Source organism: Homo sapiens, chromosome 3, assembly GCF_000001405.40.
Source record: "Homo sapiens chromosome 3, GRCh38.p14 Primary Assembly".
Taxonomy (NCBI): domain Eukaryota; kingdom Metazoa; phylum Chordata; class Mammalia; order Primates; family Hominidae; genus Homo; species Homo sapiens.
In genome coordinates, this window is record NC_000003.12 from 121,499,903 (window position 1) to 121,519,516 (window position 19,614).

Consider the following 19,614-nt stretch of genomic DNA (forward strand, 5'->3'; position numbering starts at 1 on the left):
ATGATGCCAATGTCTCATTAAGTAGAGAATACAATAAAGACAAAATTATTTTTAAAAGAACCAAATGAAAATTCTGGAGTTAAAAGTACAATAACTGGCCAGGCACAGTGGCTCATGCCTATAAAGCCAGCACTTTGGGAGGCTGAGAGGGGAGGACCACTTGAGCTCAGGAGTTTGAGATCAGCATGGGCAACATGGTGAAACACTGTCTCTACAAAAAAATACAAAAATTAGCCAGGGATGATGGCACATGCCTGTGGTCCCAGCTACTTGGGAGGCTGAAGTGGGAAGACTGCTTGAGCCCAGGTCAAGGCTGCAGTGAGCCGTAATTGTGCCACTGTACTCTTGTTTGGGCAACAGAGCAAGAATATGTCTCAAAAAAAAAAAAAAAAAAAAAGTGCAGTAACTAAAATGGGGTTTATTATGTTGCCCAGGTTGGTCTTGAATTCTTGAACTCAAATAACACTCCTGCCTTGGCCTTGGCCTTCCAAAGTGCTAGGATTAAAGGCGTGAGCCACCAAACCTGGACCTAAAATGGATAATTTACTAGAGAGATCAACAGTATATCCAAGCTGGCATAAGAAAGAATCAGCAAACATGAATAGATTAATAAAGACTATGCAATCTGAAAGAGGGAGAGGAGAAAGCAGAAAAAATGAACAGAGTCTTAAAGGAATATGGGAAACATTAAGTGTACCAACATATGCATAATGAGTACCAGGAGAAGATAGAAAGGAAAAGGAAAATCATCTGAAGAAATTATGGCTAAAAGTATTCCAAATTTGATGGACAACATTAACCTACATATCCAAGAAACTCAGTGAACTCCAAGCAGGATACATACAAAGGCATCCATACAAAGACGCATCACAGTCAAAACATTAAAACTGAAGAAAAAAAATCTTGAAAACAGCAAGAAAAAGTCATCCTATGTAAGAGAAACCTGATAAGGTTAAGAGCTAACTTCTCACCAGCAACAAGAAGGCCAGTGAGATGACATATTCTAAATGCAGTGAGATGACATATTCAAACTGCTCAAAGAAAAAAAAATCTGTCAACTAAACATTGTTTTTTCTTTTGAAACAGGGTCTGGCTCTGTCACCCTGGCTGGAGTGCAGTGGCACGATCTCAGCTCACTGCAACCTCCACCTCCTGGGCGGAAGCCATCCTCCCACCTCAGCCTCCCAGGTAGCTGGGACTACAGATGCATACCACCACACCTGGCTAATTTTTGTATTTTTCTGGTAAAGACAGAGTTTCACCATGTTGCTGGTCTCAAACTTCTAGGCTCAAGCCATCTACCTGCCTCAGCCTCCCAAAGTGCTGGGATTACAGGCATGAGCTACCACGCCCAGCCTCAACTAAGAATATTATATAAAGGAGAGTTATTTTTCAAAAATAAAAATAACAAACATTTCCAGATAAACAAAACCCGAGAAAATTTTGCTAGCAAATCCATTTTATAAGAAATGCTAGGCCGGGCGCGGTGGCTCACGCCTGTAATCCCAGCACTTTGGGAGGCCGAGGCGGGCGGATCACGAGGTCAGGAGATCGAGACCATCCCGGCTAAAACGGTGAAACCCCGTCTCTACTAAAAATACAAAAAATTAGCTGGGCGTAGTGGCGGGCGCCTGTAGTCCCAGCTACTTGGGAGGCTGAGGCAGGAGGAGAATGGCGTGAACCCGGGAGGCGGAGCTTGCAGTGAGCCGAGATCCCGCCACTGCACTCCAGCCTGGGCGACAGAGCGAGACTCCGTCTCAAAAAAAAAAAAAAAAAAAAAAAAAAAAGAAATGCTAGCCAGGCGCAGCGGCTCATGCCTGTAATCCCAGAACTTTGGGAGGCTGGGTGGGCGGGGTTTGGATCACTTGAGGTCAGGAGTTCAAGACTAGCCTGGTCAACATGGCGAAACCCTGTCTCTACTAAAAATACAAAAAAAAATTACCCAGGAGTGGTGGCGCATGCCTGTAATCCCAGGGACTCGGGAGGCTGAGGCATGAGAATTGCTTGAACCTGGGAGGCGGAGGTTGCAGTGAGCAGAGACTGCACCACCGCACTCCAGCCTGGGCAACAGAATGAGACTCTGTCTCCAAAAAAAAAAAAAAAAGCAAAGAAATACTAAAGAAAGCTCTTCAGGTTGAAAGAAACTCACCAAAACCATATTTCAATTCCAAACCAAAAAAAGAAAGTCAACAAAGGAAATTATGTGGGTACATATAAAAACAGTATCATTACATATTTCTCTTTTCTTCTCCTGACTGATTTAAAAGGCAACTTATAAAACAATATGCATATTTTTGTACTGTATTGGGTTTGTTTGTTAGTTTGTTTGAGACAGGGTCTCACTCAGTTGCCCAGGCTGGACACAATCTCAGCTCACTGCAACCTCTACCTCCCAGGTTCAAGTGATTCTTGTGCTTCAGCCTCCTGAGTAGCTAGAATTACAGGTATGCACCACCACACCCAGCTCATTTTTGTATTTTTAGTAAAGATGGGGCCTCACCATGATGACCAGGCTGGTCTTGAACTCCTGACCTCAAGTGGTCCACCCGCCTCAGCCTACCGAAGTGCTGAGATTACAGGCATGAGCCACTACAACCTGCCAATATGCATATAATTGAATTGTTGGGTCCATAACATATAAAATTCACAATATATTTGACAGTATCAGCCCACAGGAGGCAGGTGGAAGCAAAGCTGTACTGGACTAAGGAAATGACAAGAGATGGTGTCCCAAATCCATAGAAATAAATGAAGAAAAAAAACACAATCATAAATAAGAATGTTAATGAAGCAAACTCTGTAAATGTATATTTGCTCTCCTTTCTTCTCTCAGCTTCTCTAAAAACATTAAATTACATAAAATACTAAGTATAACAACGTACTGTTAGGTTTGCAACACATAATGATGTAATAAGTATAACAATGGCACAAAAAAAGGAATCAAAATAGAGTTATTTAAGAATACTTCTTTATTTCACTGCAATTAAGTTAGTATAAATTTTAAGCTGTACCTGATAAACCCTTGAGTAAACACTAAAAAAAAAAATGGCAAAAAATATAGAGAAAAATGTACAAAATTAAAATGTTATAGTGTTTTGTGCTGCATAATGACATTTTTGGTCAATGACAAACTGCATATATGACAGCAGTCCCATAAGATTATAATGGAGCTGAAAAATTAATATTGCCTAGTGACATCATAGTCATCAAATATCTAGCATGTTGCATTACCTTTTCTATGTTTAGAAATGTCTAGATACACAAATACTTACCATTGTATTACAACTGCCTACAGTACTCAGTAGAGTAACATGCCAAACAAGTTTGTAGCCTAGAAGCAGTAAGGTTATACCATATATCCTAGGTGTGTAGCAGGCTATACCATCTACATTTGTGTAAGCACACTCTGTAATATTCACACAACAATGAAATTAGCTAAAGATGCAATTCTCAGAATGTATCACTGTCCTTAAGCAATAATGACTATACTAGAATATATTCCCTTCATTCAAAAAAGAGCAGTAAAAGAGGTACAGGGGAACAAATTCCCTGAGAATACCGACTGTAGTTGAAAACTTCAATACCCGACTTTCAACAATGAATAGAACTACTAAGAAAATCAAAAGGAAATAGAAGACTAAAATAACATTCTAAGTCAATTAGACCTAAGAGACATCTATAGAACTCCACCAAACCATAGCAAAATGTATAGCTGTCTCTTGTTATCTGTGGGGGACTGGTTCCAGGACCTCCTGCAGATAACAAAATCCATGGATGCTCAAGTCTCTGATATAAAATGATAGTGTCTGTATATAACCTATGCACATCCTGCCATATACAGAGTAATCATCTAGCGTAATTATAATACCTAATACCACATAAATACTACGTAAATAGCTGATATACTGTATTGTTTAGGGAATAATGACAAAATAAACTGTATGTTCAGTACAGAAAAAAATTTTTTTGAGATGGAGTCTCACTCTGTCACCCAGGCTGGAGTGCAGTGGCATAATCTCGGCTCACTGCAACCTCTGCCTCCCAGGTTCAGGTGATTCTTCTGCCTCAGCCTCCTGAGTAGCTGGGATTACAGGCGAGTGCCACCATGCCCAGCTAATTTTTGTATTTTGTAATTTTGTATTTTTAGTACAGACAGGGTTTCACCATGTTGGCCAGGCTGGTCTCGAACACCTGACCTCAGATGATCCGCTGAAAGAATGAAAAGAAAACAAAATTGAAAAATATTTAGCTGGACTGATCAAGAAATGATGCAGGAAGATTCAAATTACTAAAATCAGGAATGAAAGAGGAACCAACCCCACCATCCTCACATAAATAAAAAGGATTATAAGGGAATACTATGAACAAGTAAATGCCAACAAATTAGATAATCTACGTGGACTATTTTCTGGAAATACACAAACTACCAAAACCGATTGAAGAAAAAATCGAAACTCTGAATAGTTATAAAAAGTAAAAAGATTAAATTCATCATCAAAACATTTACTCCAAAGTAAAGCCCAGGCCCAAGTGGCTTGACTGGTGAAATCTACTAAACATTTAAATAACAATTAATAGCAATCTTTAACAAATTCTTCAAAAGAAACAGAAGAGGAAGAAATATATCCTAAATCATACTGTGCAGTTAGTATTACTCCAAAACCACACAAAGACATCACGAGAAAACAGAACTACAGGTCAATATATCTTATGACAAAAATACTAGCAAACCAAATAAAATACTAGCAATAAAATACCAGCAAACCAAATCCAGCAACATAAAAAGGATTATACAACCTAACCAAGTCAGATACTCCCTTTTGGAATGGAAGTATTTATCCAATGCCTGTAACCCCATTGCATCTTGGGAGTAACTAACTTAGTTTTTTTATTTCACAGGCTCATCAGTGGAAAGCACTAGCCTTCTCTCAGATGAGACTTTGGACTTCTGAGTTAATGATGCAATGAGTTAAGACTCCGGGGGACTGTTGGGAAGGGATGATTGTATTTTGGAATGTGAGAAGGTCATGAGATTTAGGGGCCCAAGTGTAGATTTATATAGTATAGATATGTGTCCCCACCGAATTTCATGTTGAAATATAATCTCCAATGCTGGAGATAGTGCCTGGTGGCAGGTGACTGGATCATGAAGACCGTTTCTTATGGTTTAACACCACCCCACTTGGTGCTGTCGTTGCAATGGAGAGTTCTCGTGAGATCTGGTTGTTTAAAAGTAAGTGGCACTTCCCGCCTCTCTCTCACTCTCTTCCTCTTGCTCTGGCCATATAAGATGTGCCTGCTTCCCCTTCACTTTCTGCCATGATTGGAAGCTTTCTGAGGCCTCCCCAGAAGCAGAAGCCACTGTGCTTCCTGTACAGCCTGCAGAATCATGAGCCAATTAAACCTCTTTTCTTTATAAATATCCCAGTCTCCATAATTTCTTTATAGCAGTGTGAGAATGGACTAATACAGTAAGCCAAAAAGAATAGCTATGAACACTGAAAAGCAGAGCAATGAAGGGAAACTTGCCCTACCAGAAAGTTTTTAATTAAAACAGAGGCACTGGCACAAAAATCAGTCAAACTGGTCTTTTGTCAGACTAACAAGTGAAACAGGAATATACACAATGACAAATGGAATTAGAAATGTACCCAAATACAAATGGAAATACAGAAGATAAAAGTTGCCATCTTGAGTCATTGTATAAATGAATTTTTTAATAAATGATGCTGAGATTACAGATAGCCATTATGAAAAAAACATGAAACTGAAGAACCATGTACTAGAATACACTCCAAATGAAGCAGAGCTCAAAATAGGGGCAGGCCAGGCACAGTGGCTCATGCCTGTAATCCCAGCACTTTGGGAGGCCAAGGCAGGTGGATCACCTGAGGTTAGAAGTTCAAGACCAGCCTGACCAATATGGAGAAACCCCATCTCTACTAAAAAAAAAAAAAAAAAAATACAAAATTAGCCAGGTGTGATGGCGCATGTCTGTAATCCCAGCTACTCAGGAGGCTGAGGCAGGAGAATCGCTTGAACCCAGGAGGCGGAGGTTGCAGTGAGCCGAGATTGCACCATTGCACTCCAGCCTGGGTGACAAGAGCGAAACTCCATCTCAAAAAAAAAAAAAAAAAAAATAGGGGGATCACAACTATACAATTACTTGAAGAAAATGTGGGTGAATTCCTTAATAATTTCAGAGCAAAAAAAATTTCTCACTAATTCAAAAGTCCATATATTCAACTACTAGACAAAACATACAATAAGCAAAGTCAAAAGACAAGTGAAAAATCAAGAGGAAAATCATTCTACTTATACCACAAAGCACCAATCTCCCTAATATATAAAAAAACCTTTAAAACTAAAAACAAAACAAAACAAAAACAAAAACAAAAAAACACACACACAACAGAACAATGAGCAAAAGACATGGACAATTCACTGGGGAGGGAGGTGGGGAGCCCTGTACCCATTAGCAATCACTCTCCATTTTCATCCAACCTCCTCACATTCCCCCAGCCCTGGGTAACTACTAATGCACTAAAGGTACTTTTTGTTTCTATAGACTGCCATTCTGGACATTTTATATAAATGGGGAAAATGTTCAAATTTACTCATAATGTAAAAAAATGTAAACTAAAACTACACTCAAAAATACAAAAGTTTGACCATATACTCTCTACTTGTGAAGCTGTGAAAAAACAACTACTCTAATATATCTCTGGTAAAACAGGAAAGTGATACAAACTCTACAGAGGTCAACTTTGCAAAACCAAAATCACTTATGGTTTTACATTTCACTCTTTGGTTTTACATTTTACCAAAATCACTTATGGTTTTACATTTCAGTCTTTCCTAAAGATACACCTCCATAAAAACTAAACACTGTGTGTACCATGTTACTTACTGAAGCATAATTTGCCACAAGAAAATATTGAAAATGATCCAAATGTCCATCAATAGGGAACTGATAGAATAAACAACGGTACATCCACCTACACGACAGAATTATAGGTTATAAAAAAGAATAAAAAATGAATTGATATGAAGTGATTTCCAAGATACACTGTTAAGAAAAAAAAAGGTATAATGTATACAGCATGCTACCCTCTGTATAAAAAAGGTGAAGGATATGTATGTCTGATAATTTCTGTAAAATTAAAAAAGAGAAGAGATACATTAAAAAATGAATGAAAACAGTCATCTATGAAAGGTAGGTGGAAAAGGCATGGAAGGGATGGATATAGGAGTCAGACTTCTCTGACTATTCCTGTTTATATAGTTCTGACTTTTGAATCACAGAAATGTTTTATATATTCAAAATATAAAATAGTACATGCAAACACTAAATGTTTTGTCTAACTTAAAACATAAATGTATTTTAATTGCCAATGCTTTGAGCTAGGGGTCAAGGCCTTTTGAGCATGAGTCTGTTGATTAGAATTTACCATGGCTTTCTTAAACCATAACCACAATATATTGTCTAAGAAATCCAGTTTCTGTTTTGTAATGTGAAGTTAGATATTAAAGATAATCATTGGCTGGGTGCAATGGCTCACACCTGTAATCCCAGCACTTTGGGAGGCCGAGGAGGGTGGATCACTTGAGGTCAGGACTTCAAGACCAGCCTGGCCAACATGGTAAAACTCTGTCTCTACTAAAAATACAAAAATTAGCCAGGTGTGGTGGCATGCACCTGTAGTCCCAGCTACTCAGGAGGCTAAGGCAGAAGAATCGCTTGAACCTGGGAGGCAGAGGTTGCAATGAGCCAAGACTGTGCCACTGCACTCCAGCCTGGGCAACAGAGTGAGACTCTACTCAAAAAATAAATAAATAAATAAAAATTAAAGATAACTGCAAAATAAACTTTGAGCAGTGTCCTTTTAGTTTCCTCCCTGTCTAAATTCCTATAACTTTTTCTCAGAGCTTTCAGTTATCTCACTTATATTTTTTTGCTTGTTTTTAAGACACGAGGTCTCTTGCTGTCACCAAGGCTGGAGCATGGTGGCACGATCATAGCTCACTATAACCTAGAACTCCTGGGCTCAAGTGATTCTTCTGTCTCAGCCTTCCAAGTAGCTGGGATTACCGGCATGCACCACCATACACAATTTTTTTTTTTTTTTTTTTGTTTGGTAGCGACAGATTCTTGCTCTGTTTCCCATGCTGGTCTCAAATTCCTGGACTCAGGTGATCCTTCTGCCTCAGCCTAATTTTCTCAGAAGCAAACTGACATGAACAAGTTTGGGAACACAACTAACTCTTGAAGGGCATACAACTCGAATGGTGAGAGAAGTATACAAGACCACTAACCACAAGCATTCAGCATACTAACACTGCCAACAGTCTTCACGTTTTAGAGAGGGAACAGGAGTAGGAGTAGTTAGGTAATTTGGCAAATGACTTACATAATGTTTATGGGAGAATTTACTAGAAATAATAGATGTTATTAAACATTTATTCAGATACCAAACATTCATCAAAGACTATCAGCCCTGAGGTGGGTATTATTATCTCCATTTTACAAATGAGGAAATGGAATCGTAAGAGAGGTTAAATACTTACCCAAGGTTATATGATTACTAAGTGATGAGGCCAAAAGTTGAACTAAGGCAGTCTGATCCTAGAGCCCACAATCTCAGCCACTGTATAATAAATGACTTATTTTTAAGGCCATGATAGATGACCGGTGAAACCTGCTTTGAGATTCCTCCCAGCCACATTCTTGGGCACAGACCTTTGAGCCTATTATCACCCATGTATTATGCGAGTTTGTAATAAAAGAAAATTGGTACTGTCTAGACATTTCCCCTCTGCTCACTACATAGCGATTTTTATTGAAACACATTTCCTGATAAGCCCCCTTCATTCTAATGAGAATTTCAATTTTACTCACCTCCCCTTATCACTTGCTTATCAAAATGCATGCATCTGCTCTTAACTGACAAAATTAATTATTTCTGATCAGGTTCTTGCCAGAGAACATGACCTTAAACACTATCCAATTCTTATTAATATCTTTGTTATACAAAATAATATTCACAGAGCATTGTCTAATATAAACAAACTTAAAATTCCTTATTGCATTTATTATAGAGATTTTTATCAAACAATGTTAAGTTCCAAAGTATCCTTTTAGGACTAAATTTCTCTTAGGCAGGGAAATGCAATGTTTTTCCTAAACTTGTTTTGTTTTTTATCTTATGAATATTAACACTAATCAAGCTTTCCTCTTTCTTTTAGTTGCTAGAAAACCCAGAATCAAAGTTGACAACAGCATTGGACATGACTTAATGGCACGCATGTTTGTGTACTGACCTTTGCTTGAGTTTTACATCATGATCCGATCTTTAATTTTCTGATATCCCATTTTTCTTTGCTGTTCTTTTATACGTTGTAAAAATATATATTTTTTATAAAACAACTCAAATCTTTTTTGAAAGGAGGTTGGAGAAAATAAATTTAAAGGTAACTAGAACATTTAGATTATTACTTTAAAACAATTATCTTCTTACCTCTTCTCTATTCCCACCAGTACTAACCTAGGCATGGAAAACAGACGAGATGTTCTGTTAGGGTATCTTTGATGTTCAGGATTATATATCTATTTTTTTCTCCCTATTTTCACAAACATAATTGTTAAAACAGAACTTACCAGATAGAGAATATGAAGATCATTCTCTAAAACAAAGCCCTTCATTGCTCTTTGCAGGTCAGCAAAAATATCTAAAGTATCAGCTGGAGAAAGTGAAGAAGAAAGAGTGGCCGAACCAAGATGTGTTGGATGATACACCTTTCCTGGTTTAGGGTTAGGGTGAGGAAACAGAGGAACAAACATTCAAAATAAAATAAAACAAAATACTATCTTTCTGTTTTCCATGCTAACCCTCCCGGCTGATAAATTTTACAAATAGTACCTTATCCAGAGCATGAAAATGTATGAGCAGGCTCTATCATAATGGTCTGAAGTTGCTAAATACAATACTGATTTACTAAAAATGAGTTGATACACTGCTCAAAAAATCAAATTCCTTTTATACTACATGAAAAGACAATTTCCATTCACTGAGCAGTCATACAACCTCACTAAAGAAGAAAAAGTGAGTAAATTGCAACTGAGAAGTCACACTTACCTTCTGTTCCATCACTGGCTTCTGTACTCTGGATGAATTCATTTTCTAGTAGCCACATCACACAGGCCTCAATCGCTCCAAGCTGAACAGACTCTTGATTTCTCTGAATTCCTTGCTTCCCTTCTTTCATACTTGCAGCCAAAAATGTGCAGGCAGCATAAGTATGCATATCTTGTGATGTACTTGCCACTCCACCAACTATTATCTGAAAGAAGATATTTGGAAATTTCTGTAGCTTTTTAAGAAAACATGCAAGCCACCGGGCGCGGTGGCTCATGCCTGTAATCCCAGCACTTTGGGAGTCCGAGGCGGGCGGATCACGAGGTCTGGAGATGGAGACCATCCTGGTTAACACGGTGAAACCCCGTCTCTACTAAAAATACAAAAAAATTAGCCAGGCTGGTGGCAGGCGCCTGTAGTCCCAGCTACTTGGGAGGCTGAGGCAGGAGAATGGCATGAACCCAAGAGGCGAAGCTTGCGGTGAGCCAAGATCACGCCACTGCACTCCAGCCTGGGCGACAGAGCGAGACTCCATCTCAAAAAAACAATTAAAAAAAAAAATAAATAAAACATGCAAGCCCTCTGAATATAAAATAAAGCAAGCTATTTCATTCTCATTTTTTTAAATGTTCTTAGAATCTTAATGTAGAGATTCTTTATTTACTTTCCCATCACCACTCACTGTAACTGTTGGTAACACCTAATGACAACAGAAAAGTTCTCCTTAAAGTAGATAAAATATTTTCTTAAAAAGAAAAATAAGTGGGCCAGGCACGGTGGCTCACGCCTGTAATCCCAGCACTTTGGGATGCCAAGGCGGGCAGATCACGAGGTCAGGAGATCAAGACCATCCTGGCCAACACAGTGAAACTCCGTCTCTACTGAAAATACAAAAATTAACTGGGTGAGCCAGGCGCAGTAGCTCACGCCCGTAATCCCAGCACTCTGGGAGGCCGAGGCAGGCGGATCACGAGGTCAGGAGATCGAAACCTTCCTGGCTAACACGGTGAAACCCCATCTCTACTGAAAATACAAAAATAAGCCAGGCGTGGTGGCGGGCGCCTGTAGTCCCAACTACTCGGGAGGCTGAGGCAGGAGAATGGTGTGAAATCAGGAGGCGGAGTTTGCAGTGAGCCGAGATTGCACCACTGCACTCCAGCCTGGGTGACAGAGCGAGACTCCGTCTCCAAAAAAAAAAAAAAAAAAAAAATTAACTGGGTGTGGTGGCAGGCACCTGTAGTCCCAGCTACTCAGGAGGCTGAGGCACGAGAATTCCTTGAACCCAGGAGCCAGAGGTTGCAGTGAGCTGAGATTGCACCACTGCACTCCAGCCTGGCAACAGAGCGAGACTTCATCTCAAAAACAAAGAAAGAAAAAGAAATGAATCATTAAATTCATCTGAAATTTTGGATAACACAGCGAGACTCCATCTCAAAAACAAAACAAAAAAAACATAAAGCACCGGGCACAGTGGCTAACACCTGTAATCCCAGCACTTTGGGAGGCCAAGGCAGGCAGATCACCTGAAGGCTGGTTCAAGACCAGCCTGGCCAAAATGGTGAAATCCCATCTCTATTAAAAGTACAAAAATTAGCCAGGGATGATGGTGTGTGCCTGTAATCCCAGCTACTCGGGAGGCTGGGGCAGGAGAATTGCTTGAACCCGGGAGGCGGAGGTTGCAGTGAGCTGAGATCATGCCATTGTACTCCGGCCTGGGTAACAGAGTGAGACTCTGTCTCAAAAATAAATTAAAAAAAATAAATAAATAAAGCTAAGATTTTCATATACTAACATTTTACTAATTTAGGCATAAAAGAGCAAATGGTAATTTAGTAAATTCTCTCTTACCTCCAGAATAGCTCGTATCATGCTGCCAGTTACTTCTTCTCCTTCTCGTCTTTGCAGACAGCTGCGAACAGGCTTTAGAGAACCCTGAAGGAGAGCTATGCCTTTTGATTTCTCAGAGTTCTTACAAATTAAGATACTCTCGCCTATAACCAAAAGATACACATTTGCAAAATCCCAATATAGTTCCATAAGATATCTGCTAAAGAGATTTTAAGTTGCCTTACTTTGCTTAAAAGCAGACAAGAGATGATAGTGGTTGTTATGGTAATAAAATTATGGCTATTTTTTGAACTTTGGACAGAAGGGGATCAGAATATGCCACTCCAAAATATGCCACTTCAGCATAAGGATTATTTTGAGCTGAAGGCCATTGGGAAGCAGCAAACACAGAAAGAACTCTTTGTCCTCTCCCTATCTGCCTAAAAGCAAGAATAAATTTTTCCCTTTGTGATGATGTTTTCCATTCCCTCTCCCACACAGGACAACAACCCTTATCACTGGAGACAGGTCAGCACTGAGATGGGTCTGCACAAACAAACTCTACCTACTAAAATAACTTCTATCTTCCATTAGTTTGCCCCATATATTTACCTTCTCACAATTTGTTGCCCCTAGAAGCCCAGATACCTTTTCCTTTTTCTTGTTGCTTCTCCACAATTTACTGCCCATTGTTAAAATGTTATATAAGACCCCAGGTTAAACAGTTTCTCAGGTCTTCAATCCTTTTCTATAAAGGCTTCCATGTACATAAAAATTAAAATATTAGCATCAAATAAAGTTTATATGCCTTTTCTCCTGTTAATCTGTCAATTTAATTAGCAGGTCCCAACTGCAGAACCTAAGAAAGTAGAGGAAAAGTCTTTTTCTTCCCCTACAGGATTAACCATTATTATTGAATAATGAAGTAATTAATAGAGGTACTTTCAAACCTATAAAGTAAAATGCAAATGTAAATTGTTACCAGTTATATGATAAAATAAATTCAAAAATACTTGTAGATACCCAAAATTTATATTACAACATTTACTAATCTAAATGCTTTATTGTGAGAACCAAATGAACAAAAATACATGAAAGCACTTATATGTTAAAGCCATATACAACTATACAATTTGAACAAATACAAACTATTATTGCAACAATTATGACTAGAGAGAATCATAATTTTTCTTCAAAAATGAATCCAATACTGTGGGAAAGAAAGCAGGTAAGAGGTTCAAAAAGACAAATGAAGAATACTTTTTTTTTTAAATAAAACTGGCACAGTGCTGGAATATCCTTACCACCCGAGGCAAAGAGAAGGTACAGATTATCCTTCCCAATTGCCAAACTGAGAATCAAGATAGGATAAAGTGAAGGGATTATAAACTTGATTATCAATGGCTGTTTATCCCAGAAATGATTATAAAGATAGGCACCATTAAAAAAGCAAAACAGCCAGGCGCGGTGGCTCACACCTTTAATCCCAGCACTTTGGGAGGCCGAGGAGGGCAGATCACGAGGTCAAGAGATGGAGACCAGCCTGGCCAACATGGTGAAACCCCGCCTCTACTAAAAATACAAAAATTAGCTGGGCATGGTGGCACGCACCTGTAGTCCCAGCTACTCAGGAGGCTGAGGCACGAGAATCACTTGAACCCAGGAGGCAGAGGTTGCAGTGAGCTGAGATCACGCCACTGCACTCCAGCCTGGCAACAGAGAGAGACTCTATCTCAAAAAAAAAAAAAAAAAAAAAAAAAAAGGAAAACAAGATGTCAGCAAGATGGTGGTTTAGGAGGCTTTACTACCCCCCTCCCCAGAAGCTTCAACTAGCTTCTATCTGCAGACAAGAACACCTTTGTGAAAACCCCAAAACTGCCAGGCCCAGTGGCTTATGCCTGTAATCCCAGCATTTTGGGAGGCCAAGGAGTGTGGCTCACTTAGGTCAGGAGTTCGAGACCAGCCTAACCAACATGGTGAAACCCCGTCTCTACTAGAAATACAAAATTAGCCAGGCATGATGGCACATTCCTGTAATCTCAGCTACTTGGGAGGCTGAGGCAGGAGAATCGCTTGAGCCCTGGAGGTGGAGGTTGCAGTGAGCCGAGATTGTGCCACTGCACTCCAGCCTGGGCAACAAGAGTGAAACTCCATCTCAAAAAAAAAAAAAAAAAAAAAAGAGGCCAGGCATGGTGGCTCATGCCTGTAATTCCAGCACTGTGGGAGGCCAAGGTGGACGGATCACCTGAGGTCAGGAGTTCAAGACTAGCCTAACCAACATGGTGAAACCCCATCTCTACTAAAAATACAAAATTAGCCAGGCATGATGGCACATTCCTATAATTCCAGCTACTTGGGAGGCTGAGGCAAGAGAATCGCTTGAGCCCAGGAGGTGGAGGTTGCAGTGAACCAAGATTGCGCCATCGCACTACAGCCTGGGCAACAAGAGTAAAATTCCGTGTATTAAAAAAAAAAACAACAACAACAACAATAACCAAAAAAAAAAAAAAAAAACCCAAAACTTGGGAATAAGTCTGAAACTTATGCATAGACCACAAAACTACATAAAAATTGCAAGATATAGTAAGATAAACTATCTCACTTTGACCTCATCACCCCTTCCACTCCCCTAAGTCAGCACAGTATCACACAGAAAGGAATCCCCAGGGCTCATGGCTTCTACAGTGGGAAAAGAAAACCAGAGAACACAGAGCTTCCCTAGCATTCCAAGAGGCTTCCCAAGAAGCCAACTCCAGTCTCGCCTCACAGAGAACATGCTGGGTAACAGCATGGCTAGATCACCTGGGGTCAGGCAGAAACAAAGCAAGGAGGTAGAGCTCACGGCAACCAGCATGCAGATCTTGGTGGTAGCTCTGTGTACCTGCCAGTGGTGGTGCCCAATCAGAGGTACCAGCTAACAGCTAAACAGTGTAGCCCAGGACAAAGCCAAACTGATCACTTCTAGAAGTGGTAGGAAATTCTACCTGGCTTGAATCTTTAGATGGCCAGCCTCCAGGCCCAGCGTCAAAGCTCATGAGGACCCTGCCCAGGAAAGGAGATGACCATCACAGTGCATTCTGGAAAGAAGCAGGGGCTAGTTCTGCCAAACCTGGGATTTTAAACAGTGCTCAAGCTCAGCCTCAAGGACCTGCCCCAGGTGGAAGATGCCTATCATACTGTATTTTTGCAAAGTGCAGGGACTAGTTCTGCCAAGGGTGGAAGTTTAAACAGCCCTCAGTTCAGTCTCAAAGCCCACTCCAAGTCCCCACCTAGGCAGGGAGGCAAACCTCAGATGTGCATTTTTTTTATTTTATTTTTAGAGGTGGGATCTCTGTCACTCACATAGGAGTGCAGTGGCATGATCATAACTCACTGAAGCCTGAAACTCCTGGGCTCAAGCGATCCTTCCATCTCAGCCTCCCAAGTCACTGGGATTACAGTCATGAGCCACCATGCTCAATCATGCATTTCCACTGAGCATAGCAGCTGGCCCACTGGTCCAGAATAGCAACTCCACCTAACCTCGAGGCCCAGCCTGCAACACTGTCCAAGTACAGATCTCAAATAGGGGTACCATCTGGCCAAGGAATACACTCTGGGGCCCAGCCAAGAGGCGATTGCAGTTTCAAACCAGCAACTCTGCCTGACTGCAGAGCTCAGCTTGTGGGTTCACCTGATAGCAGAGCCCAGCCAGCAGTCCCACCCAAACTCAGAGCAAAGGCAGCAGCCCAACTATCTACAGAATCCAAAGCAAGCTTTGCCTGCTCAGGGCTGCTGCCAGTTGGCCTATTCAGAATCAAAGGCTAGACAAGTGAAGTTCTATCCCTGCCAAAGAACACCTATAAAAGCCAAAGAGGTAGCTGTCTCCTCAAATGTGCAGATACCAACACAAGAACACAGATTACAAAGAACCAGGAAGCCAAGATACCTTCAAAAGAAACTAACAAAGCTCCAACAATGAACCCTAAAGAAATGAAGATCTGTGAAATGAGAAAGAATCCAGAATAATTATCCTAAAAAAGTCCAATGAACTACAAGGATATATGGATAAAAAATTAAATAAAATTTGGAAAACAATATACAAACAAAACAAGAAGTTTGACAAAGAAATAGAAACAATAAAAAAGAAAGAGAAATCTTAGAGATGAAGAGTACAATGAGTGAACTGAAAAATGCAATCAAAGCTTTAGCAGCAGGCTCAATCAAGCAGAAGAGAGAGAGATTAGGGAGTTGGAGGGATGAGAAGATGGTCAAAGAGTACAATGTTTCAGTTAGACAGGAAGAATAAATGATAAGTATTTGGGGGTGATATGTTAACTGGCTTAATTCCATCATTTTGCATTGTATACAGATAGCATCACTCTGTGCCTCAAAAATATATACAATTATAATTTGTCAATATCCAATTTTTAAAAATCACATGAATATAACACCTGACTCTTGCAATGGCTACAAAACAGCCCAGCTTAAGAAAGAAAACACACACATATAAATTACCTAGAAAATGAATCAACTAGCATTAGCAGCAAGATAAACAAGCCACTTTGGGCTGTTTAAAGGTCTTTCGGGGCTTTGATTCTTCAACAAAATGAACTGCCCTTTTCCTGAATGGGCAAGGTTTATAAAATGTCCAAATGAACATCAGTATATATGTACAGGTTCCTGCAACCACCTGTCTAGGGAGGACTCATCCACATCACAAGAGGGAAGTTGAAATTATTTAGAATCAAATAATTTATTACTGACTGCTGAACTTACAAATCGCTATTTTGGCACCAAGCACCATCATCCTATACTAGAAGCTTCTAAGTAGTCTATGGAAAGACTGAAGTGTCATCTAAATAAAACACCATGTGCTGTCCAGGAATATAAAATGCACAGAATTTCCAATGATGCTACACGATACAAAAAGCATGACCAAGTATTTAAGTCTCCATAGTGAATATAAACCACTATATTCCTACATTCTTCATTAGCTTGAAGTTATGAGCAAGTCATATGACATCCTGAAATACAATGATATGCAAGATCAAAAGCTTGGAAGTCTTTAAGACCTCAGAAATGAACTTATTACAGTATATTTTAGTTCTGTTTGAGAGTTGTCTGATTTAAGGCTTGATAATTAGCCCAGGGCACTAACCTTCCAATTGTTCTTTCCCATAATAAATATAAGCTAAGAACATAACAAGGCAAATAAGATCTCAGCTTATTTCTTGTCTTATTTCTCCTTATCTTCTACATTAACTAAAAGACCCTCTGTCCCGAGAGACAATTATCTATGTAAAATGGACTTATACTCCATTCCCCAGAGGTGTGAGTCCACTGAAAATTGGGGATGGACAGAGGTAGGCAAATAGGAATGGGAAGGAAGAATCTCACTCTCTTCCCTCAACTCTTTTTAAGCATATACATGCAATCTGCATATTCTGTAGGTAAAGTAAGAGAGAAACAGGATAAACGTCTCTGATGTCAGCTGTAGGAAAAATCCAACAAATTGGAAGTTTTGTTTTTTTTTTTTAAATCATCAAAATTTTCAGGGCTTAAAAGAAAGGCTGACCAATGCCCTTCAGGGATTGTAAATGGGTCATTTATTACTGGTGCTGAGACTGAAAGCTGTTCCAATAGCCATGCACATCTTCTTAAGTATTAGTGGAGCACGTGGCCACCCAAGCTAAAGATTATATTTCCCAGCCTCTCTTATAGTTGGGGAATGTAATCATGTGAAAGTTCTGGCCCATTGTATGTGAAGAGAAATACTATGTGCAACTTCTGAGCAGCGGCCTTAAAGGGCAGGGCATGCTCTTTGCTTCCTCATCTTCCCTTCCTGATGGCTGAAATGCAGATGTGATGACAGAGACTGGACTGGCCATCATATACCGAGGATAGAAACTACATTGCTGAAAATGTTAAAACAAAATAGAAGACTAGGTCCCCGACACACTACAGCCATCATATAAGGCCTAAATTACAATTACATCATATAAGGCCTAGAATAGAATTTTACTGTTATATGAGAAAGAAATTAACATCTATCTTGTTAAACACTTATTGTATTGGTTTTTGTTACAGCAGTGAATTTATATTCTAACTAATCCAGATACCAATAAATTACGGTCAATTTTTGGTATTTGTGGTAGTCATGTTCTATAAAGCTGCCACGAACACAGAATACTGAACCCTTGCTGCCAAGGAAAACAGATGATTAGGTTCCTGCAAGCCTCTAGTAAAAACATTTTCATCACTTCATCAATACAAAACCTTGTTTTATGCATGTTTCTGTTTAAAGACATCTTATTTAATGTATATAGTTGTTTACATTGAGCTCCAGCCAACAGCATTATAATTCATGCCTAAAGAAAACTTATCACATATTTTCTCCATAAGGCACATCACAGCCTTAAGGCACTAGGGAACATTAGATAGCATTTCAGTACTTTGCTTGGGGGTCATGTTAAACAGCAAAATCACCAACTAAAAGCACAAAAATGTGAAAAATATGGCACTAACTAGCCCATTAAAAAGAAGCTTGTTCACAGTATAAGAGCTGAAACAAGAACGCAGAGCTTTGGCTTGTTCAACCACAGCAGGGAAAGTGTGCTTGGAAAGATTCAAATTTTTCGCAGATCTGCATATGTCCACAAAAGCCCCAGAGGTATTATTTCGGGATTCTGAATAAATTCTGTTAAGGTGGAAAATTCAAATATGGAATCCATGAATAATGAGAACTGACATATTTGGGGACTTCATGTGACAAGTCAGTTTATTCTAAAAGTTACTTCCTCAGTGTACTACCCAGCTTCCTCTGCCCAGAATATCCATTTCCCATCCACTTTCCTTATTCTCCTGGATTTCCTAATTTCTCTTCAGTAGCCACAGAACTGTTTGCCTGTTTTGTTTTTTTTTGACATATCTAATAAAATACTGGAGTCAATTATGTCCTACAGTAGAAAGATGACAATTATGTCCTAGAGTAGAAAGTGGCAGGGAATGTTCCTCCCAAGGTTCTTCAATGTTAGATGGCTGATAATGATTTAGTTACATATAATGATACAGCACGTTAGAAATAAAATTTGCTGCCGTTTTGACATTTAATTCAAACAAACCTCTTCCTTACTGCTTAAGACAAAACTTTTGTTTGGATTGCTGGTAAAAACAATCATAACTTGCTGATACAAGGTAAAAAAAAATGAAAAGGTGTTTTTTCAGAGCCAGCACCAATTTCGAGAAAAAAGATGGGATGTCAAGTTCCTATTCCCAAAGTGTGAGGGTGCATCCCAGCATCCTTGTCTGATTTCTGAGACCAGTCACCTAAGTTGAATTAACATCTGTGAAAATTAATTAGTGCTAAAGAGTAGACTACACCTAGAAATTAAAAATCATCTTCCAGCTAAGTAATAAGAAGTCATCTTGATTTACATAATACTAAATCATTTTATTGTATACAATACGAAAGAAAAACTTAATTCAACATTTGTAGAAAATCAACAGTTGATGATATATATATATATATATATATATATGAAAATTATGCCAGGCGCGGTGGCTCAAGCCTGTAATCCCAGCACTTTGGGAGGCCGAGGCAGGCGGATCACGAGGCCAGGAGATCGAGACCATCCTGGCTAACATGGTGAGACCCCGTCTCTACTAAAAA

The 19,614-nt window shown here is 39.4% G+C and overlaps 1 protein-coding gene across 1 annotated transcript in view; it reads right to left on the bottom strand.

Moving 5' to 3' along the window:
* Window positions 1-19,614, bottom strand: part of POLQ (DNA polymerase theta) — a 114,558-nt gene that overhangs the window by 68,472 nt on the left and 26,472 nt on the right. Inside the window, exons 10-12 of the mRNA NM_199420.4 lie at window positions 11,985-12,127; window positions 10,137-10,341; window positions 9,659-9,801 (exon numbers count right to left, since the gene is read on the bottom strand). Of these exons, the coding sequence (NP_955452.3) occupies window positions 9,659-9,801; window positions 10,137-10,341; window positions 11,985-12,127 (491 nt within the window). The remainder of the gene's footprint in view (window positions 1-9,658; window positions 9,802-10,136; window positions 10,342-11,984; window positions 12,128-19,614) is intronic.